General features: G+C 45.6%; 7 annotated features.

Annotated features, from left to right (window-relative positions):
- Positions 3,069-3,904: an enhancer, noted in NCBI's record as "H3K4me1 hESC enhancer chr6:14804615-14805450 (GRCh37/hg19 assembly coordinates)". NCBI's record gives its function as "activates a minimal SCP1, AML or CMV promoter by ChIP-STARR-seq in naive H9 embryonic stem cells {active_cell/tissue: H9 hESC(naive)}" and the evidence as "EXISTENCE:reporter gene assay evidence [ECO:0000049][PMID:30033119]".
- Positions 3,423-3,717: a silencer, noted in NCBI's record as "tiled region #11053; K562 Repressive non-DNase unmatched - State 7:EnhWF". NCBI's record gives its function as "represses a minimal TATA promoter and a strong SV40 promoter by Sharpr-MPRA in K562 cells {active_cell/tissue: K562}" and the evidence as "EXISTENCE:reporter gene assay evidence [ECO:0000049][PMID:27701403]".
- Positions 17,723-18,017: a silencer, noted in NCBI's record as "tiled region #9195; HepG2 Repressive non-DNase unmatched - State 22:ReprW, and K562 Repressive non-DNase unmatched - State 23:Low". NCBI's record gives its function as "represses a minimal TATA promoter and a strong SV40 promoter by Sharpr-MPRA in HepG2 and K562 cells {active_cell/tissue: HepG2 | K562}" and the evidence as "EXISTENCE:reporter gene assay evidence [ECO:0000049][PMID:27701403]".
- Positions 19,532-19,611: an enhancer, noted in NCBI's record as "active region_24056". NCBI's record gives its function as "activates an Ori minimal core promoter by ATAC-STARR-seq in GM12878 lymphoblastoid cells {active_cell/tissue: GM12878}" and the evidence as "EXISTENCE:reporter gene assay evidence [ECO:0000049][PMID:35858748]".
- Positions 20,759-21,260: an enhancer, noted in NCBI's record as "NANOG hESC enhancer chr6:14822305-14822806 (GRCh37/hg19 assembly coordinates)". NCBI's record gives its function as "activates a minimal SCP1, AML or CMV promoter by ChIP-STARR-seq in naive H9 embryonic stem cells {active_cell/tissue: H9 hESC(naive)}" and the evidence as "EXISTENCE:reporter gene assay evidence [ECO:0000049][PMID:30033119]".
- Positions 21,631-22,418: an enhancer, noted in NCBI's record as "NANOG-H3K27ac-H3K4me1 hESC enhancer chr6:14823177-14823964 (GRCh37/hg19 assembly coordinates)". NCBI's record gives its function as "activates a minimal SCP1, AML or CMV promoter by ChIP-STARR-seq in primed H9 embryonic stem cells {active_cell/tissue: H9 hESC(primed)}" and the evidence as "EXISTENCE:reporter gene assay evidence [ECO:0000049][PMID:30033119]".
- Positions 23,206-23,992: an enhancer, noted in NCBI's record as "NANOG-H3K27ac-H3K4me1 hESC enhancer chr6:14824752-14825538 (GRCh37/hg19 assembly coordinates)". NCBI's record gives its function as "activates a minimal SCP1, AML or CMV promoter by ChIP-STARR-seq in naive H9 embryonic stem cells {active_cell/tissue: H9 hESC(naive)}" and the evidence as "EXISTENCE:reporter gene assay evidence [ECO:0000049][PMID:30033119]".

Raw genomic sequence — 27,874 nt, forward strand, 5'->3', positions numbered from 1 at the left:
ATTTTGTTTTTAAGTCATGCACTGTTAATATTTGAGATAATCTCTCAGTACCTCTGTTCCTGCTGCCCATATAACAAATATCTGTGTGTTGTCCTATTGGCCCGTGTTGTGCCTCATGCTGAGTGACTCAAGAGCCAGAGAAAAGTGGCTATGTAAATTGGCCTGGATGTCCAGGCACCAAAACTAGAAAAGGAAAGGACAAGCAGGCCTGAACAAAATCAGGAGATGGATTGATGAAGAGAGGAGTAATATACATGGATTTTCATTCCATGTCATAGACATACAAATCTGGAGCTGGATCTTTAAACTAATCAATTGTTTCATTGTTCGCTAAAGGGGAGGGTAATGTCTGTCCACAATATTGACCAACATTAAATAAAACACACACACAAGAAATGGAGTTTCATCTGTCACTTTGGATTAGTTACCTCTCCAAGACAGGCATGTGGGGGAACTGGAAACATTTCTTTCTTTTTTTTTTTTTTTTTTTTTTTGCGATAGAGTCTCATTCTGTCACCCAGGCTGGAGTGCAGGAGCCTGATCACAGCTCACTGTAACATCCGTCTCCCGAGTTCAAGCGATCCTCCCACCTCAGCCTCCTGAGTAGCTGGGATTATAGGCATGCACCACCATGACTGGCTAATTTTTGTGTTTTTAGTAGAGACAGGGTTTTGCCATGTTGTTCAGGCGGGCCTTGAACTCCTGGCCCCAAGTGATTCACCCGCCTCAGCCTCCCAAAGTGCTGGGATTACAGGCGTGAGCCACTGAGCCCGGCCAGAACTGGAGACATTTCTAAATGTTATGTGAAATTGAGAGTGGTCTCCATCTAGCTATGAGGGAACCACATGTGATACAGAGAAAAGAGAATTTGATTTTGTGTTAGAGGAGCTTCTCCACTACTTACTACCAGTGTAACTCATCGGGTGACAGTATTTTCATGTCTAAAAATGGAATAGCAATGCAGGAGTGCCCTGTAAATTACTGAGAAATGAAAGTGCCTGGTACACTGCTTGACCCAGAGTAACTAATCATGAATTGCTAACTCAATCAGAAATGGACTTTTTAAAATGCTAACATCTGTTCTAAAATGAAAAGAAGAACCTAGAGTGACACGGAGAGAAGGGCTGACAGAATGTGATACGCAAAGACTAAGAAAATGATGCCTGGGCAGAAACCTACCTCTGCTAAAAAGAAGGGATTTCAGAAAACATGAGAAAACTGGCAAAGCCACAGCATGAAGCGACAGAGAAATGTGTAGGGATGCTCTGAAGCCAGAGGGGATCTCCAAGGACATGAACCCAGGAAAGAAAAAGAATAATTCATTGAATTCCTCTAGGAGCAGGACAACGGAGCAGTCTTAGCCTAACAGAGACTGGACGGTGCATAGGGATTATTTTCAGCCACAGATGAGGGAGGGGACTTGCAGAACTTCAAGGAAATCTATGAAGGGAAACTGGAGAGTGATACAAAAGCCTGAGTTAAACTGCATAAAGAATAGTTTGCAATTCTACATACCTATCATTTGCCAGATAGTTGCAGAGTTGGCCCCAGTAGATTTCCATATGTTGTGCTAAAATCGCACTGGAGGCTGACTGAGCATTTGTGGCTTTTCAGAGATGCCAGTTTTGGTGAGGGGGTTGGGGGTTGCTGGGGGCAGTCACCTGCATCGTGCAAGGATAGAAATAAATGATATCATCCCTAGGGCACAGAAAGCAGAGCTGTGGGGGCCTCTGGGTCGTGTCCCTCCCCGCTGCCACTCCTGCACACCTGTGCTAGCAAACACTCCAGATTCTGGTCTCTGGGCCCACCCGGAGCCTGTGCTGTTCCTCGACTTGTAAATTTTAAAACCTTTTCTTTCTTTTTTTTTTGATATAGAGTCTCGCTCTGTCATCCAGGCTGGAGTGCAGTGGCACAATCTTGGCTCACTGCAACCTCCACCTCCCCGGTTCAAGTGATTCTCCTGCCTCAGCCTCCCGAGTAGCTGGAACTACAGGCATGTACCACCATGCCCAGTTAATTTTTTTTTTTTTTTTTGTATTTTCAGTGGAGGCAGGGTTTCACCGTGTTAGCCATCTCCTGCCCTCATGATCTGCCCACCTTGACCTCCCAAAGTGCTGGGATTACAGGCATGAGCCACCGCTCCCGGCCCTAAAACATTTTCTTTTGCAGAGTGAAAGACCAAGTAATCTGGAGTCCACCAGCCCTCCCCTCACTTGTGTACAGCAGTTTGGTCACTGCAGAAACATCCACCCTGGCTGGTGGGTAAATACCCCATAAGACAGAAAAATGACTTCCTCCAAGGGACTCCTGATAATTAGACAAGACAGTGGAGAAATTCCTTCCCTGAGCCCCTGATTTCAAGGCCATGGCTACATCCATGATAAGGTATGTTTCTGCTTTGCTTTCTCCAGAGAATCAGGGAGAAATCCCACTCCATCCCACCACTACAGCCCCCGGCTCGTGAGCAGAGCTCACGAGGTGGTGGTACCTTCTCCATCCCCACGCCTGGGGCACAGGGAAGAGCAAGGAAATTCTCAGAACAATGCAGCATAAGACATGATTTCTCCATGGGTCCCAACCTTCCCTTTCATGGGTCTCCAGTCCTGCCTCCCATTCTGCACTCTGCACCCCCATCTTTGCAGAGCCATCCCTAAGTCACACGCACCGTGGAAGAGAGGAGACAGGGTAACAGCACTGTGCCTGCCACCTGACCACAAGCCCAGGCAAAACTGTGGTTTGACCCACATGGGGCGGGCAGATGGCTCTGTTAATGCCTGTGCTTCCCTCGGACCGCTCCAAGCCCTAAGGCATGAGGGAGGATCTGTCAGCACAGGCAGCTCATCCACCCGGCTCTCACCACCCAGTTTCAGCAGGACTGAAAGACCGCGGTGCACTTTTGCTTCCCTGGACACTCAAAAAGCTCAGTGATGTTTATTTTCCTTTGCTCAGTCTCCTCTTTTCACCACCAGGACAGTGTGAAGTCAAAAATCTGTGCTCAGCACAAGACACAGCAGAGAAAGAGGAAGAAACTGGCACAAAATATTTTCTCCAGCGTGCTGCCTGGGGAGCCTGGCTTTGACTTCGACATGTGCTGGAGGTGTGGTGTCCAAAGTAAACCTTTTGAACTGTTTTTTTGGAACCTCCAAAAAGACCTCGCACATCAAAGGGGATCTGATCCCCCATGAGGTGCATAGCAGGCATCGTTAAGCATTTTGCATGAATCAAACACCTTCTGAAAAAGAAAGGAAGCCCAAACTCATAGCACATGGCCAGCCCGTGTCCCCGACCACAGGCAGCCTCGAGCACATGCTCACCACATGGCTTCGCCTGGTTGGGTGGAATCAAACCCTGCAGAGGCACAGGGGCTTCTCCATCACAGGAGCCGCTCTCTGTGCACTCCCAGGCTGGGATACAATGGGGCTGCTTGTTGGAGCAGCCTCACGACCCCGGCCTAGGCCCGCCTCAGGGGAGCCCAGGCAAACTCTGACTCCAGTCACAAGGGGAGCCCTGCTGGGCCGCCCCACCCCAAACGCCGAGGCAGGATGCAATCTGGGGCTGAATACAGAGTCCAGTGTGAGTCCTTGGCACGGCGCCCAGAAAGCCACGCAGCAGCGATGGGCTTGGTGGAGAATTCCAGGCTCTGAAAGAAAGCAGAGCAGGGAACAGAGCCGGAGCCTTGAGCCTCTTCTGTCATCTTCCCTCCTGGAATTCATTCGGCTTACCACAGGCAGCTGCAGCCATGGGCAGAGCATGAGCTCAAACTTCAGAGGCCATGGTTGCCCAGACAGTCCCAGAAACTGATGACACGTGCTTCTCTTGACCTGCCTGAGGAGGAAGGAGCTTTCAGGCCCTTTCCCAACAGCTATGCTACCTGCACAGTGGCAGCCATCCTTTGAGGGCAGAAGGAAGGGATTTAGAAATCACTTGTGCCCTCTCAATAACCTTCAAAGTGCCCGGGAGACACCAAACCTCAGATTTCACTGGAGGTACATACAGCAGTTTTTAAAACAAGATTCTGGGCCGGGCGCGGTGGCTCACACCTGTAATCCCAGCACTTTAGGAGGCCAAGGTGGATGGATCATGAGGTCAGGAGATTGAGACCATCCTGGCCAACATGGTGAAACCCCATCTCTACTGAAATACAAAAAATTAGCCAGGCATGGTGGCGTGCACCTGTAGTCCCAGCTATTTGGGAGGCTGAGGCAGGGGAACTGCTTGAACCCAGGAGGCGGAGGTTGCAGTGAGCCAAGATCAAGCCACTATACTCCAGCCTGGGCGACAGAGTGAGACTCTAAAATTAAAATTTAACATTAAAATTTAAAAAAAAGGTGCTATCATTCCTGACAATTGCCTCTTTAAAAGTCGTCTTCTCTGGTTAGCAAAGTTCTAGGTTCAGGAAAAGAAAAGTGTTTAAAACCACTAATGCAACCTGATTGGTAAGAGTTTTAATTAGCAGTTCCAAAACTGTGCACATTCTGAGCTTTTAATTAATATGCACAATTTCCGTTGCATTTTACTTCAATAAGAGCTATATAAAACCAGTGAGTGGGTGACATTGACATTCCATTCAAAAAAGAACTAGAAGAAGAAGGGGGCAGGAGAGTTGAATTTGGAGGAACAGAGAAGGCAAATGAGTCTCATAATTCTCTAAATTATGCCTTTATAAATAAACATTGTCACCTACACCTCTCATTGGAAGCCCTTCAGCTCATGCCCAATCAACCCCTGGAATCATTTTAACACACTGACACCCTGAACTGTGGGCCCAGACGCTGGGGATGCCAGCCAGATAATCCTCCCCTCATTCCACAAATACGGACTGAGGATGCTACATGCCAGGTACAGGCAGGTACCAAAGATGCCAAGGTGAGAGAGTTGGTCCCCACCCTCCAAGGAGCTCATAGTTTTATAGATGATCACATAAGGAGAAAAACAAAAGCTCTATGTCTAGACCACAGACACCTCAGGGGCAGAAACACTGTCTCATTTATTCTTGTACTGCCGTCATCTAGCCAGGGTCTAAGCAGAGTAGGCAATTATTAAATGTCTGTTGAATGAATACAGGGTGAAAAATGTGTGCCTCCACACATACAGTGGTGCAGCAAAGCAGGGCAGGATCAACCCTGCTTGGTGGGGTAGACCCAGATGACAGTTTCCTGGCATGCTCAAGCAAGGCCACACCAGTAGTTATCCATGGCATCTGTTCTAACTGCTCAGAACCCAATCAGACAGGTTGTTAAATATTTTTATTATCATCTACCTGGAGAAAGGTGAGATCCCAGAGCTGGATCTTAAAGACAAAATGAGAGCCTCTTAAAGTTGGGAAGGACATTCTGAACACAAGGACCAGTGCAGACAACATCAAGGAGACCTGAGCTTTGCCACACAAGTTGGGGATTGGGAAGAGGGAGGTGGGATCCTGCAGAGCCTCATCTCCTGTGCAGGGTTGCTTAGACTTTATCCTGAAGGCCATGAGGGGTCAGCACAAGGCTTTCATCAGGAAGAGCCTTGAACACTCTGATGGAAAAAGAGACAGGTCTGGGAAAAGAAACAGTTGGAGGCTTTAGAAATGGGCAAGTAAAAAAATGTCAGAGTCAGAGGTAAGACATGGGCAGAAGGGATGCATAAATACAGGGATAATTGGGAGGCAGGCTCTCTTTACACAAGATTCAGGAATGTATTGGAAGCGGAGGATAAGAGAAGAGAGCTTGGGCAATGGGGGAGGCTGGGTTCCACTAACATGATAGGAAGCTAACCTGGGTAATGGGGCAAGGGAAGTGATGAGCACTACATGGCAGGTGTTGCTTTTGCCGGGACAGATGGAGCCCCCCCGGGGTAGGCCCTAGGGTTCTCGAGCTCAGGCAGATCTGTCTGGGATTTGCATGGGGTGTCTTCCACAATCTCATGAAAACACACATCACACACACACACACACACACACACCCCTTCCAGAGATTTCAGAATGTGGCATTCCCCTGATAAGAACACTTCCATGTTTGATGAAAACCTGATGCTAGTTCAGAAGACGCCACGGAAAACAGTGTACAATTAGAAGGCAGTGATGACACCGATGAGTTAGAGTTCTGATAAAGCTGACTCCAGGAAGACAGCCAAATAGGGAGAAACGCTCAAGCTTCATTTTTCATATATGTTCTGAAGAGTTCAGAAAGAAGCCCTGGTGCTCTCAATAACCTCAAGGAACCTTTTCCCCCTTTAAAGAGGAAAAGAAATTTTAAAAGAAACCTCCTTAGAACGTCCATCAAAGCCTTAGCCTGTGCTCGTTGCTCAGTCTAAAACACCCGCAGGCTTCCAAAACAGTGGTGGTCCCACCAGACATCTACCTGTTGAATTCTAAACAAGAAATCCTGAACGATCGATAGATGGATTGCCTTACTAGCTCCTTCCCTTCAGATATTTTTCTTGTGGTCCTGGCTTCCCCAAGAGACAAGAAATTCTTAGTATACCTTCACCTCAATCACTCTACCCTGGATTCAATGAATCCATTTCTATCTGGTGCACCCTGTAATTTCCAGGTGGAGAATAAAGCCCCCCAAAATATTCAAACCTATATGGTTGTAATACAGCCAAAGGGACCTTCATGATCAACTTGATCTTCCACTTGACCTGCCTGTGAATTAAGTCAGTCCTGATAGTCTCATTTTACTACCCGGCTGGGGCATGGAGAGAATAAGTAAGTCGTGTTACCAAAACACCAGGGGTTTGGTCTAGGACCTGCTGCTCGCCGCACAGAAAGCCAGTCGCTGACATCATGAGTATTGCCAGGAAGAAGGCTTTAATCAGGTGCTGCCAATGAAGAGATGGGAGCTCAGTCTCAAATCCGTCTCCCTGACCCTCTGAAACTGGGAGTTTATATAGCAGGAAGAAAGGTAACAATGTCTAAGAAAACAGAAGGAAACAATCACGATAAATGAGGAGTCTGGCATTTCACTGTCTGGATGGGAGAATCTGGTGAGTTTCAGTTATTTGATACTTTTTGAGAGGTCTAGGGATCCCTTCCCAAGGAAGGAACTCAGATAAAACAAATTTGGGTTTCAAGCTTTAAGACCAGAAAGTTCAATTTCTATGTTTATCCAAAAACACCTTTCTATGGGACTCTTGGGTGGGTTTCAGTAGCACCAGACAATGCCGCAAATTGGCTGTAAGAGCTCAGCCTTAGCATAAGGGCTCCAGTTAGGATGGTCAGGAATCCCTGCCACTTAGAGAAATGAATTCTAGCTATCCCTGTGAAGGGGGCAGTCTGTGTATTACTTTGCCAACTATTAGACTCCCTTCAGTTCAAATACAAGGTGGACACTTAAGCCAGCCCAGGCAAGCTGTCCTGGAAAAGGTGCACACTGAGGGGTTCACAGGCTTCTTAGCTCAGCAAGATCTTGTGTCTTACAAACATAGTTGGTACTTGTTACGTGAGGTAGTTCTGTTCTACCCGGAACACTGAATTAGTGAATACTGAACCATTGCTCCTAGGGAAAAGACAGGTTAGGTTGCTGTGAGCATTTAATTAGAACATTCTTACCAACTGAGCAATGTGTGACCTTTTATATGTGTGTTTCTGTTTAAAGACACCTTATTTAACATATATTGTTGATTTATGAACATCGAACACATGCCCAGCAGCACTATAACTCATGCCTAAAGGAAGGTTACCCAACACACGCGTCTTCTCTGTAGGGCATATCACAGCCTTCTGGCACTTAGGGACACTAGACAGCTCTTCAGAACCACACATGGAGGCCACGTTAAACAGGAAAATGACCATAAAAAGCACGAAAATGTGAAAAATGCAGCACCAAATAAATCATAGGAAAAACACGTGTTTACAGGATGAAAGCTGAAACAGGAAGGCAGAGTGAGGTCTTGTTGCACCTCGGCTGGGAACATGCCCACTGGGCAACTGAAAATTGTCCCCACTCTGAGCATGTCTGTAAATGACTGTGAACACACCAAGAGTATTGATTCGGAGATTGCGAATACATATCAGCAAGTAGGCAAATTTGCAAATACACAACCGGTGAATAATGAGAATGGACTCTAGGTTGTACTGTAACTCCTTTCTGGAACCCAGCTATTCTGTGGACAATCTAAACTAGATGTTTAAATACATTACTGCTTAAGAGAGCACATCTTCAGGGTCACTCAAGCCACTTTCATTTTGGGAGATGTTAGTATATGTATCTATATGAGCTGTATATGATATATATAGATATATATTATATATGATACATATAGATATGATACATATGACATATAGCATATACATGATATATGCTATATATGCTATATATATCAAAAATATATACATATACAGTTTGTTTTTTGTTTGTTTGTTTTTGAGACAGGGTCTTGCTCTGCTGCCCAGGCTGGAGTGCAATGACGCGATCACAGTTCACTGCAGCCTCGACCTCCCCAGGCTCAAATGATCCTCCCACCTCAGCCTCCTGGGTAGCTGGGACTACAGGTGTGTGCCACCACACCCAGGTATTGTTTGTATTTTTTGTAGAGATAGGGTCTCACCATGGATGTTAGTATATTTTTAAAAACAAAAATTAAAAAGAAGAAATGTCCAACAGGCTTATTTAAAATGCAGTATGTTTTAAGTGCTTACATTTGACACATTAATGCTTTTAACTCACAACTTGAATATAGTGCAACGTACTGGGTACTAATCACAAGATAATTAAAAGATTTTTAAAATATTAATTCATAGATCATTACAGGCAGTGTGGTCTGACGGAGGAACACGAGTTTTGCATGATGACAGCTGTCTTTTACTCCATCTGCTTGTTTTCCTGTCTATAATCCCATGTGAAGAGAATCCCAGCGTCTACATCTGAGGCCCTTTGTGAACACGTGGCTGTGGTCATCTGATCCTCCCTGTCCTCCCTGCGACAGACTCATAAAGGAAGGATGATCAAGGTCTCCTCCAGTAGTTGAACTCCCTTCTCAAGTTCATGATGCAGCTAAAGGAACCCATTGTTTTATCTGCTGGGTGAATGGAAACAGAGGCCTTCAGAAGGAAAGAGCCCAGGGCGCAGGAAAGGAGCAGGTTCCACAAAAGCCTGGTTTGAGACTGTCCTTTCCCAGGCTGCGCGATCCACCGCAGGTTACTGTCTGTCTCTAGGCCTGTTTCCTCCACTGTAGTTTGAAGATGCTTTAGACCAGGAAGGAACTGGCAAACGTTATCTGGAAAGGTCCTATTGTATTTTAGGCTTTGTGGACCAAGAGGCAAAAACAAGGGTATTTGTAGGTACTTATACAACAGGAAAGAAAATACATTTCCACAAGATTTTTCAACTATTTAAAAATATAATAAAAACTGGCTGGGCACAGTGACTCACACCTGTAATCCCAGCACATTAGGAGGCCAAGGTAGGTAGATCCCTCAAGGCCAGGAGTTCAAGACCAGCCTGACCAACATACCAAAACCACTATCTCTACTAAAAATACTAAAATTAGCTGAGTGTGGTGGCAGATGCTATAGTCCCAGCTACTCAGGAGGCTGAAGCAGGAGAATCACTGGAAGCTGGGAAGCGGAGGTTGCAGTGAGCCGAGATTGTGCCACTGCACTCCAGCCTGGGCAACAGAGTGAGTGAGACTTGGTCTAAAACAAAAACAAAAACCCAAAAATGTAATTAAAAAAAACCATTGTTCCCTCATGGGCCACACAAAAAGAGGCAGCCAGCTGGCTTTGGCTCCTGGGATGTAGCTGCTGACCCAGCTGCAGTGCAGACCAGCGCCGTCCAGCAGCCCCTTCCGTAACGATGGAAATGCTTCTGTCTGCACCGTGACCACTGCACAGTTGAAATGTAGTTAGTGTGACTGAAGAACTGAATTTTTCATGTTATTTCATTTCAATTAATTTAAATTGAAATAGGCACATGTGGCTAGTGTCTAATCACAGCTTTAAACCTTCTGTCCACTTCCTCTAGCCCTCATAGATTATGTTTCTACAGTTTACTGCCTTCAAGAGCTTCTGTCTTACGAACTTGGCAAACATAGACAAGTTTTGAAGATTTTGTTTTCGTTGATTCCTTTGGTCTGCATTTATTTTCTTCTTTTCTAGTTTTCTACAATATTCCCAGCCTGCCTGTTTCATTGTAATGCTAAATTCCTAACTGTGCAGAGACAGATGCCCCAAGGAGCCACAACAAACTGAAACTGGTACTACAGGGTTTTTAATTTTTTTTTTCTTTTAGAGACAGGATCTCGTTCTGTTACCCAGGCTGGAGTGCAGTGGCCTGATCACGGCTCAGTGTAGCCTCTACCTTCTAGGCTCAAGCAATCCTCCCACTTCAGCCTCCTGAGTAGCTGGGACTACAGGCATGCACTACTATGCCCAGCTAACTTTTTTATTTTTTATAGAGACGGGGTCGCACTACATTGCCCAGGCTGGTCTTGAACTTTAGGCATCTAGCAGTCCTCCCATCTTGACCTCTCAAAGGGCCAGGCATGAGCCACCATGTCCAGGAGGATATTTTAAATTTGAAGAAAACACACAACACTCAACATTATCAGACTGTGCATGAACTACCAGTTCGATCTACTTCTAGCTCAGATCTATCCAACCATTCGCATAGTACTACTAGCCCACAGCTTCATCACTAGCTAGTGCTTCATTCCTTTCAATGACATCATACCTTTGCGATGTCGACTTTTCAACAGTTGCAGTGATAAAAAGCCAGAAAAGTGCCTGAAAACCAACATAGAACATTGAACAGTGTCCAATCTGAGGCCTAAATTCCTTAAAGTATGACTTTTATCCCTTTCTTTCTTGCTCCCTCAAAAACTGTAACTCTCTATTTTTCTAATCTACGGAGTTCAACAACTTGCTTTACAAAACTTCCAATACCAGTTAGTCCAGACAAGAACTAAGCAACGTTTCCCTGCCAAAATCTGGCTAAGGTAAGATTATGTAAAAACCTTACGGAAGTACTTGTCAAATGTAAACAGGGCTTCCCTAACTCACCATCAGGAGTATCTTTGTTTATTTTTAGTATCTTCAGAGGAAGTTTTTATTTTACTTTATTTATTTATTTCTTTATTTATTAAGAGCCAGGGTCTCACTTTGTTACCCAGGCTGGAGTACAGTGGCAAGATCATAGCTCACTGCAGCCTGGGCTCAAGCAATCCTCCACACTCAGCCTCCCGAGTAGCTGGGACCACAGGCGTGCACCCAGCTAATTTTTTTTGTATTTTTTGTAGAGATGGGGTCCCATTATGTGGCCCAGGCTGGTCTCGAACTCCTGGGCTCAAGCAATCCACCTGCCTCGGCCTCCCAAAGTGTGGGATTACAGGCATGAGCCACCACACCGGGCAATTTATTTCTGCTTTTCGAAAAAATGGGAAGAAGCATGGTTTTGATATTTGATCAAAGGTCTCCCCACTAGGCAATAAGAGTCCATTATATATGATCATCCCTCCCAGCCAACCAGCAGCCCTTTCTCCCCATACGTGCAGTCACAGGAAGTTTAAGGAGTGACCTGTGATCTTTATGATGTTCCTTTCAACTCCCAGGGTGCTCTGGTGTCTGGCTGCTCCCTGCATAGAAAACCATTAACATTTTTTCCATTTTGATCATGGAGAAAAGCTGGGAAGCACAGCAAGTGCCCACAGGAATAAAATATACAGTCTGTGCCTTGCTTTTTCCTCTGTGTCACCTAGAACCGGAGATCCAGGCTGGAAGCTGCGCAAGGGGCCACCCCGTCCATTCCTCTGCCGATGATCAAAGCAGCTCAAGGGCTTTGTCCAGCTTCATGGGGAAATCTCTACAATAGGGCTGCCATCGCCTCCGACCCCCATCTCAAAGAGTGGGCCACAGACAAACACACTCCACCACTGGGTCAGTTTCCCGGAGGTTCTGGCTTTCAACCTATCATTTTCCTTGGCTGAGATTTAGCCCATTTTCTTTTTTCTTTTCTTTTCTTTTTTTTTTTTTTAGTTAGCCTCTTCTGTATCATCCTGGGGGGAAATCTCTCTTCTCCACTAAAAACAAAAGAAGGCCATAGGATCCATTTTTCTAAAAGCAAAAACTCCAGTCCTGTTAAAATGTCTTTGAATTCTGGCAACACCCAATGATGGGCTGATGTTGGTAGAGGAGGTATAAATATTTCTCTTATATCAAAACAAAGTGTTTATATTAAAAAAAAAAAGACAACTAGATGACTTTCTTATCCTGAGATGTAATGATTCTGTGGACATCTCTGAGGGATTTCTCAGGCTCTCTTTGCTATGTGACTGTTGTCGAATTTTCTAATCTTGTTGCACTTTCCCTACCTGCATCTGGCTCAATTCAGAGAACCCACTATGGGTCCAGCAATATTCTAGGTGCTAGAGATATGAAGACAAGCAAGCCCCAGTCCTTGTCCTCAAGTAACTCAAAGAAGAGGTAAGAAACAGATGCGTAAAAGATAACTCTAAGTGTTGCCCAAAAATGTAGCCAAAGAGTCAGGGAACTCTAAAGAGAGAATCCTGAAGGTTAATCACAGCTATTCAGGAGCATCAGGTACAGTGGAAGAGCTTATCCGGCAGAGGAAAGCACGAGCACAGGGTGGACACATGTGATGCATTCCAGAATGAGCAAAGGGTAGGGTTTCTCAGGGTCTTAGCTTGTCTCTCAGTTCCAGGCTTCCCCTCCAATCCATTCTGTACTTTAAGCCACAGCAATGTTTCTCAACTCAGTTCTCCTAAAACCCTTTGGTAGCTGCTTTCAGCATGCTTTAGAAAGCTCCACAGTCTGGCTACCTCTTCCCTCTCCAGCCTCATTTAACCACCCATCCAGTCCTTTGTAGCCACCCTCTGTTCCCACCACCAAGCCTAGCCAACTTCACGTGGTTCTCCAGGACTTAACTTGAGGTGACCTCCAGTGAGAAGTCTTTCCCAACTCCCAAGGCTGGGTTACGTATTTCTCCTAAGTGTCCCCTAAGTATCATCAGACTACATTGTAATAGCCTATTTATTTGTCTGTTGTCCCCACAGGAATGTCAGTGACATAAGAGTAGGAACTCAATGAATATTTGTGAAAGAGGGAGAGAAAGGAAGGAAGGAAGGGAGGGAGGGAGAGAGGGAGGGAGGGAAGGAAGGAAGGAAGGAAGGAAGGAAGGAAGGAAGAAGGAGAGAAGGAAGGAAGGAAGAAGAGAAAGAAGGAAGAGAGGGAGGGAGGGAGGGAGGGCTGGAGGGAGGGAGGGAAAGGGAAGGAACCGGGGAAAGGAATAGAATCCTGAGAGAATCTTAAATGTGAGAAATGAACTGAGAAAGAACTAGTAAAAGATCTGGGAAACAGTAATGAAAAACAGAGGAGCAAAGGAGTGGTATCATTTGAGCAAAGAAGAAAATAATTTTTAGTAGGAGGCTCTTCTCATTATAAGAGAAACACTCTAGAGAAATCAGGTACCAGTGATAAAAAAACTGAGTTTCTTTGCCCTTTTTTTGTACCATAGACCTCTTTAGTAGTCTAGTGAAGCCTATGGACCCCTTCTCAAAAGAATATTATTAAATATATAAAAGACAATACATACAGTAATAAATAAAACTACTTACAGTTACTGAAATATTAAAAGATCATACTATAGTCATATATGAGTTGCATTATTAATGCCTTAGGTAACAAGATCAATCAGGAGGTCCACAAAACAATGTAATTTCTCAGTAGTGATGAAGGAAAACAGGGCTTTAAGATACCTGCAATACAACTGTAATGTGATATGGAAATATCTGTAGATATTATTGACACTACCATGGTTTGTTGCCTACATTCATAATTGAAGGAAATAGTAAATTTCAGTCAGAGGTTAGTGAAAATAAAGTATTTTCCCCATCCAAATTCCGAGCCCCCAGGTTAGGGGCCCCTCACCAAGTAACCAAATTGGTAATGAGGTCCTCACTGAGTTTTGCCAAAGCAGTTGCAGGCAAGTGGCAGAGGCAAAAACCAGAGCGAAATGATGAGAGAAAGGGAGGAGGGGAAAAGGAGGCCATGATTACAGGCTCCTCTTTCGAAGCGTTTTTGTGGCCAAATAAATGAAAAGGCTTGGAGTAGCTTGAAGGAGAAGAAATATCTAGGGGACATAGAAATAGAACATGCCATCTTCTTGTGACCCAAAAAGTAACGTCAGGAACGAGGCTAAATCACTGTTGGAAGTAGTTCCTGCCTCGTGCACAGAGGGCAATAGATCAGGCCGGGGAGTTACCAACACTGGTTTTAGCAACGCAGGGAGATGGCAAAGATCTGCACAGCCTTGGAGTCAGAATTGCGGGAAAGAAGAGACAATGCCACAGGATTCTTTTTCTCTGAAAAATAACTCTCATTGTTTAGAATAGGACAGGTAATGGCACCAGTCTGAGATCTCCACTCTTCATGCAGTGCTGACTGTAGAAAGGACCATAAAAAGAATTCTTCTAGTTGGTGGGGAAGACGGAATGGGGAAACCTGCTCCAGACATAGCCTTTCTTGTATAGATGAGAGATGGACAAAGGGCAACAAAAGTTATTTAGCCTAGTATTGTTCTGGATCAAGATTGAGTACAATCAACAGCTAGCTTTTGATATCTGAAGCAAGAGAACCTGAAAAAAAATAAGGAGTGTGCATATAAGAGATATAAGAGAGAGATTTTAAAAAATGAGTAGCAAGACAGACCTAACTCATTAAACACAGAACCAAACCGAAATAAAAATAGAAAAAGTTACGGCTTCTTAATAACCATTGTTTTCTAGCCAAGGACATTTAAAAAAGGCTTCTAACATCTGACAGGCTGTGCAGCAGGAGCCTTCTGAGGGTTTGGGGGAAAGTGGACAGAAGGAAAGCTGTGTAGATATGCAAATACCCTATTCAAATCCAGGCTTCGTTTTCCTGCAACTGAGGGTAATTAAGTGGTTAGAGAACCGCCTGTGAACCTCCTCTTCTCCTCAGAAACAATCGAGGATTTGTTGGCTAGTTGACTTCATCCGGCCTAACCCAGACCAAGATAAATCCAATTAAACATCCACCGACACAAAAACCAGAGCTTGTGCGATACTGGGAGCGACTCACAGAGAGCCTGGGGGTGGGGGGAGCTGGAATTCTTGTGCAATGCTTTATACTCTGAGACGGGAACTCATAAGAGGTCTTTGGGCTCTGGCAGAACCTAAAGGAACAATTACGCCATAATTGAACATTGATAATTGAACATTGTTTATGATGTTCAATGTTCACTGATAATTGAGCATTGCTTATTGCTTTTCTGTGCAAGGAGTTCACAGCCCTTTACAGAAGGGACCTCCACCAGCCTCACCACACCTCTGTGCTCTCCACCAGCCAGACTGCGCTATCAGCCCACATTCCAACTCCAGAGCCAGTGAGTAAGGGGATTTGTTCAAGGTCACCCAGCAGATGGAGGCCGAGCCTTGGGTAACACTAACTCCTAACCTTCCATCTTATCGTTCATGGCACTGTTCATCTCAACCTGTGGGTTCCAGGGAAATCTCATAAAAGCAGTATTTTATGAGTATTCAAGGTCATCCCTTGTGGGACCCACCTGGAATTCTCAAGAGGATCTCACACAGGGGTTAAGAAAGAAAGATCGTATTTTTCCAAACCTAACAGCTTGTGTTTCTAACACCCCACCTTCTAGCTGCACAGAATAAACCAAGGCTGGATTCCTGGAGACAATGTGGACTGAATGCCACGTATAAGCCAGAGAGTTCTGTGCTCTGAAGGAAGATGACACTCAGCTTTCGGGTAACCCCAGATCTCAGGAATCAAGTCTCCAGTGAAGCACAGGTACCCTTTGCTCCCAAGAGCTCCTGGCTGCAGTTTGAGGCTTGCTTTGGAGATTAATGGTCTCCTCACTCGGCACTCTCCGCCTCATTTAGTAATCAGTGTATCCTGTGAAAACACAAACAAGTGAAGCTCCTGCTCTTAAGAGGTCAACCCAGGGAAGGGGAGATGAGGTCAGACTGCTCTCAGGCAGGGAAGTCAGGAGGACTTTTGCTCAGTCTTGGCACAGACGCTTCACATCCAGAACAGAACAGAGGGCCTCCATCAGGCAACCGTGAACTCTGACCCACCTGCCCTCAGCAAATGTGCCCGGTGTGACAAAGTAACTATGTCATAAGGTTTGAGAAACAAATGTGTTCTGTTTATGCCTCTCCTGGTAAGAGGACAGATGGAGTGGGAGGAAAGGGGCAGGAGGTGAGCACAGGTGTCTCCAGGTATACTTACCTGGAGGTTCCACCCTCTGCAGTTTTCTCCCCTCCGTCTCTATTATTTATTTTATCTCAAAGTCAGCCGGAAGCCAGAGCGTCTGGAGGATTTCACTTGGCTGCCATGAGACTGCCCGCGTACCCCCTCGCAGTTGCCCAGGACGTACAAGCACTGATAGTCACATGGCCTTTAAAAGGCACCTCCTGCATCTAGGGGCTTGCTTTTGCCTGGAGCCAAAGCCACTTTGATGATATAAAAACGCCCAGGAGGTCCTGTGGGTCAAGGTCTCAAATGGGATGGAAGAAAGAACAAGAAGAGATGCTGCAGTCCAAACGAGCAGACCATGAGGTGCACCGCGACCATCAGCCGCGGGGCTGCAGCAAGCTATTTATGGCCACCCCCCATCCCCACGTAGTCGCTTTAGTACCAGTCACGCTGCACAGGGGCCTTTCAGTCAATGAGGGACTGCATAAATGAAAGTGGTCCCATAGGATTCTAATATCATATTTTCACCTTTTCTATATTTAGATAAACAAGTACTTGCCACTGTGTTCCAGATGCCTACAGCATTCAGTATAGTAACCTGCTGTAAGGTTTGTAGCCTAGAGTGATAGGTACCATCTAGCCTGGGTATAGTAGGCTATGCCATCTAGGTTTGTGTAAGTTCACTCTGTGATGTTCTCACAATGCAGGAGGAAAGGGGCAGGAGGTGAGCACAGGTGTCTACAGGTGTACTTACCTGGCAATTCCACCTTCTATTGTCTGTAGCCTAGAAGCAATAGTCTATACCATCTAGCCTAGGTATAGTAGGTTATATCATCTACCTCGGTATAGTGGGCTATACTGTCTAGGTCTATGTAAGTAGACTCTATGATGTTTGCACATTGACAAGATCACCAAACAACACAATTCTCTGAATGCATCCCTGTTGTTAAGCAACGCACAACCGTACTTAACATGTGCCATATAATCAAAGCGGCCAAAGAGAACCAACCCTATTTTCACCATCTGCTGTTGTGAAATAAAACGGTCACCTGGAAACGTTTACAATATGATGACTAAATATGCATTCTGGGACCCTTTCTACAAAGAAATGGGACGGGAACCTCCCACTCGGCCCTTGCCCTCCCAGAGGCACATTGCCCAGGGATTCCTTTGTCTCCTTGGGGCCTTGCCAAGTCTGATGTGCCAGTCACCAATCTAGGCCAAGTTCACACTTATCTCTCCACTCCTACCGAGGTGAAAGGGCCCTGGTGAAGAAACAGTCAGGCACACAGCTCTGCTCCCAATCCAAGACACGTGTTCAGCAGAAAGCTCTCTGCTGTACTCTGGTCGCTTGACCCCTGCCCACCCCCAGCACCCTGCCCTGGGAGCTCCAGTGCTTTCTCCAAACCTGACACTTGCCTCCAGCTCCAGTCTGAGCTTCTCCCTCTGCTGACCATGCCCATCTTGTCATGGTTCCTCCCCAGAAGCACAGAAGACTTTCTCATCTCTCAGGACAGCCAGCCCTCCTCTTAGGCATTAGATCCCAAGGGACTTCCCTTCCATGACCATTCCTTCTCTGCATCTGTATCCCAGCCCTTGCTAGAGCCGTGGCCCTTCTGTTCTCTTCATTTCAGGCATGGGCATGGGGGGAAGGCCCTCTGAGCTGCTTCCCTCCTTCCTTCTCAGACAACCTTTGGCTCAAGTCATCTCTACCCATCCCTTTCCTCACACTCTTGCCTTCCTTACCCTCAGGCAATCCGGCCCACACCTCCTCGCATTCCTGGAGCTGCAAGCTCTCAATTGTCAGCAGTAATCTTTGGCCCCATCCAGTAATAATCTTTTCTCACTTTTCATTTCACAATTTGGTAACACCCATCAGCACCTCCACCCCTCGAATGTCACCAATTTTATTTCTATGGCATTGCCCTCATGGGTTTATTCCTACCTGGGTATTTCCCTTCTGCCTCCTTTACTGCTCCTCTTCTAAAAGCAGGAGCAGAATGATCCATCTCCAAGGCTCATATTAATCCTCAGCTTTGTATTTTTCTCTTCATTCTCCTGCTCTGAGATATCCCATTGATCCTCACTGCTGATAGAACAAAGTTCATTATCCCGGCCTTTAAGGCCATTATCATTGCACATGACCCTGCCAGCCAGCTCTACCTCCCACTTTTCCCTTCTACTCCAGCCAGGCTGCTTGTCTCCAGCCTGGACCACAGATGTGAATGTTTTTGTCAACTCCAAGGCTCTACCTGGGCCACGTCCCTTCTACTTCCCTCCTCTCTACTCAAATCCTACTCCCGTTCCAAAGTCTAGCTAAACTCTCATCTTTTCCCCACTTGAATTATTAATGCACAGAAAACAGAGAAGGTGTCTCATACTCTTGCATATCCCATCAGTTTATGGTATACATATGGAAGCCAAACGTATAAAAACTCGTTCAGCCAAACATACACAAACTCATTTAGTACATATCTACTTAATCTATGCATCCTTTTGTCTTGACCATCACAGCAACAAGCACAATGTGATACAATTCTGTTCAATTATTGCTTACTTTGCAAACATTGGTAATTATAGTGTCTATTGTCATACATTATGGTTTTTATCTCATCGATTTAGGTGTACGAATTTCATACTAAATAGACCCATTTGTTTCCTGCTACTTGTTGGCAGGGATTGGGGTAAAGTGTCACAGCTCGTAGCAGTGTTTCACACTTGGCCTGAAGCAAACGACTTACGCTGTGGTTTATCTGAGATGACATTAGGCGGGCTTTGCCTTTTTTTTTTTTTTTTTTTTTTTTGAGATGGAGTTTTGCTCTTATCGCCCAGGCTAGAGTGCAATGGCGTGATCTCGGCTAACTGCAACCTCGGCCTCCTGGGTTCAAGCAGTTCTCCAGCCTCAGCCTCCTGAGTAGCTGGGATTACAGGTGCCCGCCACCACACCCGGCTAATTTTCATAATTTTAGTAGAGATGGGGTTTTGCCATGTTGGCCAGGCTGGTCTGGAACTCCTGACCTCAAGTGATCTGCCCACCTCGGCCTCCCAGAGGACTGAGATTACAGGCATGAGCCACCACACCCGGGGTTATCTAGAGCTTTCCATTATGCATAGCTAAGCCTACTCTTACCTGTCACACCTATCCAAGAGTCAAAACTTATCATTCAGTTCATAACTTCTAGAAACTTCAAACCAAAATCCTGCCAATATCTGTGTATGCTGCTCTGCTCCAAAAGACCATGTATGTGCCAATTCCCGTCTTTGTAAATGAAATGAATCCACGGCTCTTTTTAACAGAACAGGTTAAAATTGTACTTTTGTCATTCCCCATCTCTATTCTTCTTTTGTGAGTTTCTCCATTCAGATGAACAGGAGGCTGAGCAGTGCCATGGAACCTGCAGGCAACGTGGAGTAAGAGAAGCCCAAGTTGACACTCATCTCTGCCCTTTGTCAGCCATGTGACCCTGAGTAAATGACATCTTGTGTTCAAAACGTGGGGTAATTTCCATTTTAATCATCAAAACCCCACTGGGAGCTGGGCACAGTGACTCACGCCTCTAATCCCAGCACTTTGGAAGGCTGAGGCGGGCAGATCACTTGAGGTCAGGAGTTTGAAAGCAGCCTGACCAACATAGTGAAACCCTGTCTCTACTAAAAATACAAAAATTAGCCAGGTGTGGTGGTGTGTGCCTGTAATCCCAGCTACTCGAGAGGCTGAGGCAGGAGACTCATTTGAACCCAGGAGGCAGAGGTTGCAGTGAGCCAAGATCACATCACTGCACCCCAGCCTGGGTGACAGAGTAAGACTCTATCTAAAACAAAACAAAACAAACAAACAAAAAACCCTGTTGGGGTTACTGTGAGAATTAAGTGATAGGAATATGTTTTCAAAAGCCTAGCCAGGGTCTGATGTGTGGTGGGGGTTCAATAAATGCTTAGGACATCTAAAATAAAAAGAATATTGAAGCAGAGCATTGTGGCTCATACCTGTAATCCCAGCACTTTGGGAGGCTGAGGTGGAAGGATCACTTGAGCCTGGGAGTTCAAGGCTGCAGTGAGCCATGATCGCACCATTGCACACTGGCCTGGGCAATAGAGTGAGACACTGTCTCAAAATTAAAAAAAAAAAAAGACCACAGAACATACACCTCCCAAGTGACTAATTTCTAATCAAATAATTAACAATTTCCTTTTTTAGGCAGAGAGAATTGTGCCCCTCACACATGTCAGGGTCTTTTGTACATCTGGATACTGAGGCTGTTAGCCTTGCAACCTGAGGGCCATGAGGTCCAGCTCTCTCATAGGCAGTAAAGACTCATGGAGAGCTCAAGACAAGAGCCATCATTTGGTACAAGTTCAAGAGTGTGGAAGATCACCTGCAAAGATGACCACCAATCATCCTCTCAACGTCGTGCACATGTGAGCGAGCATGCCATGCGAGAGACAGACTCGTTCCCCTCCACTTGCATCTCGCTTTGACCAGTAGAACACAGTAGAGTCTCATCGTGTGACTTACAGGTCTAGGTAAGAGGCCTTGCTAGTTCTCTTTTCTCTCTGAGAAACCAGCCACCAAGTAAAAAGCTTAGGCTAGATTACTTACCAAATGATGACAGAATGCCTGGAGACAGGTCACACGGAGGAGAACCAAGGTATCCCACTGACAGCCAACACTCGACCCCAGACCATGACAGACCCTCCCCCAGCCAACTCTCAGATCGACAAACAAGTGGCTCCAGCTCACAGCAGGAGAAGCAGAGCCTCCTACCTGATCACAGAAGTATGAGAAGTAACAAAGCATTGTTGTTTTAAGTCCCTAAGCTTGGGGATGGCTTGTTACACAGCTTGTTACACTGATACAAAAGAGAGTGTTACCCCCCATGGTTCTCAGACACAGGACACAGGATCCACCATGTCAATGCCTCCCTCCAGGAGACACCCAAGCCTCGACCACAATCAGGGAAGATGCCTACCTGTATTTTCAGCTTCTGCTTGAAGATGCTTACTTAGCCCTGGGTACCCATCCTCTTTGAGCTAACTGCTTTAGGCTCTCCTTTGAGCTTGTTTTTATTATTAGTTTCTATCTTGTATATTAACTTTAAAAGAGCAAAGAAGAAATAACTTGCAGGGAAGAGCCATGAAGATAACCCAAGCCCGAACAGAGGAGCCTGGATGGATTTCCTCACCATTAATTGGCTCTGCCAATTCACTATAGTTAAATTCCCATTTTCCACTCCTAAGTGAATTTCTTATTACTAAACTCTGTAGTAAAAATAATAATAGCTCACATTTATTGCATTCTTAACATGTGTAAGGCACTGTGCCAAGCGTTTCAGAAGTATGGTTTCATTTAATTTTTTAAACAACTAAATGAAGCACATCCGATTCATTCATTTATCAAATATTAATCAGCCGGGCACCGTTCCAGGTACTGAAGATACATAAATAAACAACATTGACAGAGACCCTGCTCTCGTGGCGCTTGCATTCCATGTTGGAGACAGGCAGGAAATGCATAGTGTGTAGGAAGGTGAGAAATTCAAACGACAGAAGACATACAGGAGAATAAGAGCCTTCCAAATCAGGTGACATTTGAGCAGGGAGTGAGGGTGTCAGCCTTGGGGATGGATATATGGGAAGAACACTCCAGGCAAGTACCATTTCCTGAGCCAGGAACACTCTTACTGTGTTCTAGGAGCAGCAAAGAGGTCCAAATGGCTGGATCAAGAATGTTTAGTGGTGAGGCCAGACAGGTACCAAGGAGCCGGATTAAGGAGGGCCCCCTATGCCACGGTAAGGACTCTGGCTTTATTCAGAATGAGCTGGGAAGGCACGGGAGACTTTCCATCTCACCTTTTTAAAAAATTACTCTGGGCCAGTGGCGGTGGCTCATGCCTGTACTTCCAGCACTTTGGGAGGCCAAGACTGTTGATTGCTTGAGCTCAGGAGTTTGAGACCAGCCTGGGCAACATGGTGAGACCCCATCTCTATAAAAAATACAAAAAAAAATTAGCCGGGCTTGGTGGCGCATGCCTGTGGTCCCAGCTACTGGGGAGGCTGAGGCGGGAGGATTGCTTGAGCCCAGGAGGTTGAGGCCACGGTGAGCCGAGATCGAGCCACTGCACTCCAGCTTGGGTGACAGAGTGAGAGACTGTCTCAAAAATAAATAAATAAATAAAAATAAAATCACTCCGGCTACTGTATAGCGGGGAAGGGAGACCTCTTCAGAGACTAATGCAATAATCAAAGTGAAATACAAGGGTGACTTGGACCAACGTGGTAGCCCAGGAAGTAGGGAGAAGCTGCAAACTTCCTGAAATCTCTGGAAGGCAGGGCTGCCCAGATTTGCGGTGTTTGGGATATGGAGGTAGGAGAGAGAGAGAGCTCTATTGTGTTAGCATCTTTATGCCCGTTTTACAAATTTGTAAGTGAAAGGCAGAGTAACTTGCCCAAGAGGATACAGCCAATAAATGCAGAGCCACATCTCAAATCAGGATTGGTTTGATCCAAGAGCTCATCCTCTTCCCCACACTGCCCTACTGCCTCATGTTTAAAACCCCTAAGCCGCCTAAGTTGGAAATTCCATGGGTCAAACTGTCCCAATTCTACTCTGCCCTCTCCACACATAAGATAGAAATAAGCCAAATCCCTGTGTCATTCAGCAGATTGCTGAAGTAGTGCCATGCCCCTGTGACTTGAATGACCTCTCCTCTGCACGGGAAATACAAGACCCAAAGCCATACTGAGGGATGCGGACAAGCGCTTGGCCCAGCCACAGCAGGCTGCACCAATTACCAGGGATTGCCTAAAATCTGGGCAAAGGCTTTTCTCTCTGGCTAGGCTGCCAAACAATTCCTCGTATCTGATTACCTAAAGAGAGCAGAATAACAATTCATAAAACCATCACAGAGGAGACTTAAGAAACAGCTCGTTTTTAAGTGTTAAAGTGGCCTTATCATAACCTGCCACTCAGTAATATTAAATTTGATATTGGAAATGAAGTTTTCCACTAACAATTTCCACGAATGGAAGAGCTCTGATTCTCTTATTCTGCCTGGAATTTTTCTTGCTGGGGAGCTTTCGCAATGTGATGCAGCAGTAATACAAGTGTGTGTGCGCGGCTGCTTTTTAGAAGAGGTGTGTGTGTACAAAGGCCTTTGCACACGAAAAAAGTCCCGGTCATGACCCTGATGCACTAGGTTTGGAATTTTTTTTTTTATTCGTGTAAAGCCTCATTAACATTCTCCAACATAAAATATTTTTAGTAAGAGCCAAGTTCCCTTCCCCCACTTTCAAATTTCCTGTCACCAAAGTTGAAAACAAAAGGGCCTTCTATGAATCTCTCTCCCTTGCTTTCTTTCCCTCTCCTTCCTCTCTCTCTCCTCTTTCCAAAGCAGAGGACTCCAAAATTTTCAGCTGCAAAGCCTTGGAGACCCCAGAGATTCAACTGTTAAGAATACCAATTTCCGACTGAGGACTCACATGCAAAGGGAGTGAAGGATAACTGACATCACAATTTATTGCCCCCAAAACAACTTTCTCAACTCCAAGCAAAACCATAATTATGGGTGAGAAAGACACTCCCTGTTAACTGGCTGTGAAAGAGTGATTTACAATGCATTCTTCCTCACAGTGGAAGGCCTCTTGGCAGTCACAAATACAGGTTTTGTGTATTCAGAAGCAAAGCTCAGAGGAGCAGAAGAGAGTAAAAAGGACATTCTGCACGGGAAGTGTGCCCCTTTCCACCGCATTTATCCCATAAAGTCCCAGCACTAAGAGCTCTTGGAAAATTCCCCATTAGGAAAACAAACTTGCACCATGATCAGGACAAAGACTGACCCCTTTTTTTTTTCTTTCTTTCTTTTTTTTTCTCTTAAGTAGTTTCCTATCTATTGAAATCTGCTAGTTGGTTTATAGTTTATGGGAAGACAGCAGTGGCACAAATGAGGAAAATGCTAATACAATTTTAAGTTATAGAACCACATGGACCAGCCCAGCTCGGTGGCTCACGCCTGTAATCCCAGCATTTTGGGAGGCCGTGGTGGGCAGATCACCTGAGGTCAGGAGTTTGAGACCAGCCTGGCCAACATGATGAAATCCTGCCTCTACTAAAAATACAAAAACTAGCCAGGTGTGGAAGTGCATGCCTGTAATCCCAGAGACTCGGGAGGCTGAGGTGGGAGAATCGCTTGAACCCAGAAGGTGGAGGTTGCAGTGAGCCAAGATTGTGCCATTGCACTCCAGCCTGGGCAACAGAGCAAGACTCTGTCTCAAAATAAATAAATAAATAAATAGAACAACATAGACCTAACCTTGCCAGAGATAGACAATTTAAAGTGGTATTAAATTCTTGTATCTGAGAGAACTATCAAGCGTTAAACCTAAAACAGCACTGTAAGATAAGCAGGCGTCTAAGAGTATGCTTTCCTAACATGACCAGGAAGAGAGGCTCAATAGAGACATGGCAGGAGACTTTAGAAAATGAAAAAGGCAGGAGAAAGTAAAGGAGTCCAAAGAAAGGAGAACCAAGCCCAGGGACCGGAGCTTCAGAGGAACCGCCTAGAAAGAAACTGCCTTCCAGCAGGAAGCCTTCTTTCCTAGAATCCCCGCCCAAGGCAGCATATTTCCAGAAGGTACTGGGTCAAGAACCCAGTGAGCTTCCCCCCAAACCTTAAGAGCTTCTTACATATGTATCTTAATATTTCCAATCAAAGCAGGTGCCCCCAGTGCAGAAGCACAGCATTCCATTTCCTTCTAAGACAGACATGATCTCCAGATAGACTCCGCCTTTGCAAATTCCTTCCAGAGCATTGGGAATTAGTCCATTTTGTGACTATTGGGAAACGGTCCTATATTAAGGGAGAAATGGGTATGGATTACAATTTTCTGCCCTGAGTTGTCTTTAGGAGGCATGAATGGGTATACCCAGAGAGGAGGAAAAGGATGGGATTTAGAACAAAATGAAACTTAGGATTCAAACACAGTCTGTCTTTGAGCAAGAAACTTAAACCCTGAGCCTTATCTGTTCCATAGGGTTGAAATAATTATATTGAGGACCTGCTGTGGATATGACATGAGGTGCCTGGCGCCAGATCACCACTAAGTTGGTGTTCAGTGCCAGGGAGGTGGGTGTGGGCCCCCTCCTATGCTGCAATACCAGAGTTAATTGCCCTAAACTCAGACACGTGACTCCGCAGTAAACAGAGCTAAGGAGTGGTTGGCTATGTTGGCTGTGCTGAGGCTTAGAATGAGAAGAAAATAAACTATGGAAAAGAAATAGATGGTCCCGTGTCAAGAAGATCTGATTAAACAGGAGAAAAGGAGGGTGACAGCAACTCTCAGCCCATCAGCACCCCAACCAGAGCCTTGGATCATGGAGAGGGCTGTCAGGCGCAGGACAGGATGCCCAGTGACCTTTGAATTTCTAGTGAGCAAGGAATAATTATTCTAGTATAAGTATGTCCCAAAAATTGCATGGGCAACCTTTTACTAGAAATTTTATTTGCTGTTCATCTGAAATTCAAGCATAACTGGGCATCCCACATTTTTATTTGCTAAATCCTTCAACCCTGATCACCATTGCTTTGATCCACCAAAAGCAATGCAGAACGAGAGCCAGAAAAGTGTTTGAAAAGCCAGCAAAGAGAATTTCAGGGAGCCCATCATTCACTTTGCCGCCATTGACTCCAGAATGTCCTCCCGTGCCTATTCCTAGACAGCATCAAGCGGCTGGGACAGAGAGAGTGGAAAAGAACCCAAGTATGGGGAAAAACAGAGGCGGGTTTGGAATAAAGACAAAGAGGAAGGAAAGAAGAGAAAGGAAAAGCAAGAAAGAGCAGGAAGAAGGGAGAAAGAGCAGGACAGAAGGAACTCAGGCAGACAGACGCACAGACCTCCTCAGCTAGTTTGAAAAGATAATCTGAGCTTGCAATGCACCATAGACTATGTTCTTATAAGAATAGATATGAAACTCATTTCCTGCCACCAGGTGCTGGGGAAAAAGTCTATCATTCACTGCTCCTTTCCAGAACACAGGGAGTGAAGGAGCAAGGTTTCATCATCATTGCAGCAACTGCTAAGCCTCTCAGGGCACTGGGACACCGCTTAGGTTCCACGACAAGAGGCTGGGCTTTCTGCACTCAAATGGCCGCTCCTCTCTAGACACCTTATTGCATTTCCACAATCGCTACGTCTCTTCCCATCTGGGGAAATAAGTCCACCACGGCCTTCTCCCGCCTCATCGGGTCCTAGGTGGATCCTCTCGTAATCCAAGATGTAAATCACACCTGTGAGTTGTCAGCAGTGATTTCTCTTTCCCCAAAGCCTGTACTGCAGGCTAAGCCAGGGAGGTTGTGGGAGGTGCAGAAAATAAATTGGGGCAATGGGATCTTCCCTTAGGAGTCCACAGGCATGGGTTGAATGGACACAGAAGAAGGCCTGAATCCTTCAAAGAGCAAAGTGCAAATGAATACAAGACAGAGTCGATCTGAAAAAAACACACCCTCTAGGTCACAGGGAGTATTCAGCCATTCGTGGCATTTTCAGACTTTCCCCACTTCATAAATATAAAGGAAGCTAGACCCGCGACTTGTGCAGGACAAAGGAATCCCATGGCCCCAGTTGCAAGCAAAACAGTGGTTTGAAGCCATGAAGAAAACACCAATTCTTGAATTTCCTCCTTCTTGCTGTGGGAAATGTATAGCTGATGAAGCCCATTCCCTTGTCCACAACCCACACATATCACGGAGCAGAAAACGCCAGTCTGAAAGTCAAAGGAAGAAGGTAGGGGAGGAAATTGCAAGGTCAAAGTGACTGCCTCGGGAAGTCTGATTACTCAACATGTTTAAAGCATTATTAGACGGTCTGGAAGTTGTAGACACAGAATGGGGGGAGGGGGTCCAAGGAGCTGCAGAAAAAGGAGGGGCTGTAAACTCGAGAGTCCCTCCTGGAGTTTTACTGAACTGCCTGCAACACTCCGGGGTGCAAGTTAAGAGAGAGCAAATGGGCAAGGAATCAGCCAGCCACATACAAAAGGAAAGGAGTGTCGTGTAGAAGTTAATTGTGGCCGTCAGAGATGAGTGGGTACATGGGGAGATTCATTTAAAATTAACGAGGCATTGGTTGCATTTTATAGGTCTTCCTAGGTAGGAAAATCACATGCCAAAGGGGCAGGAATGGAATGGCTCCACAGAAGTGTTTCCTGACCAACCCTTAAGCCAAATGGACAGGCATTGGGTCTCCGCATCAGAGAAGCACAAAGATCTGTGGATTCCAAGAGCCAAGGACAGGAGAGGGGACCCATCCATATGCATGGGCTGGAGCCAATCCAGAAGAGGCCACAGCAGTCCTGGGGAGAGGCCAGGCCATGAGGCCCCGAAGACCTACATGCTTGAAGCTGAACCATTTGCTCTCCTTGCTTGAGACCCCAGTGTGACAAAGACCTCAATGACAGCTGTGTTTGATCTTCTCCTTCTTAATATTGCCACCTTCAGAGTCAGAAACAGTGTGAATAACTCACCCAGGCAGTGCCAATAACTGCTTGGCATGGATGCTTCTAGATAGGCACAGATGCTTCTAGAATCTTACTTGGGATGTGGGTGGGGGTGTCTCCGTCAGGATGATCCTGATTCAGAAAACTTAGGCTAGGAGTTGCCTCCTCTGGGAAGGCTTTCCTAAATAAGAGAGAGACCCATTTTCTCT

This window comes from Homo sapiens, chromosome 6, assembly GCF_000001405.40.
Source record: "Homo sapiens chromosome 6, GRCh38.p14 Primary Assembly".
In the NCBI taxonomy this organism is placed as follows: domain Eukaryota; kingdom Metazoa; phylum Chordata; class Mammalia; order Primates; family Hominidae; genus Homo; species Homo sapiens.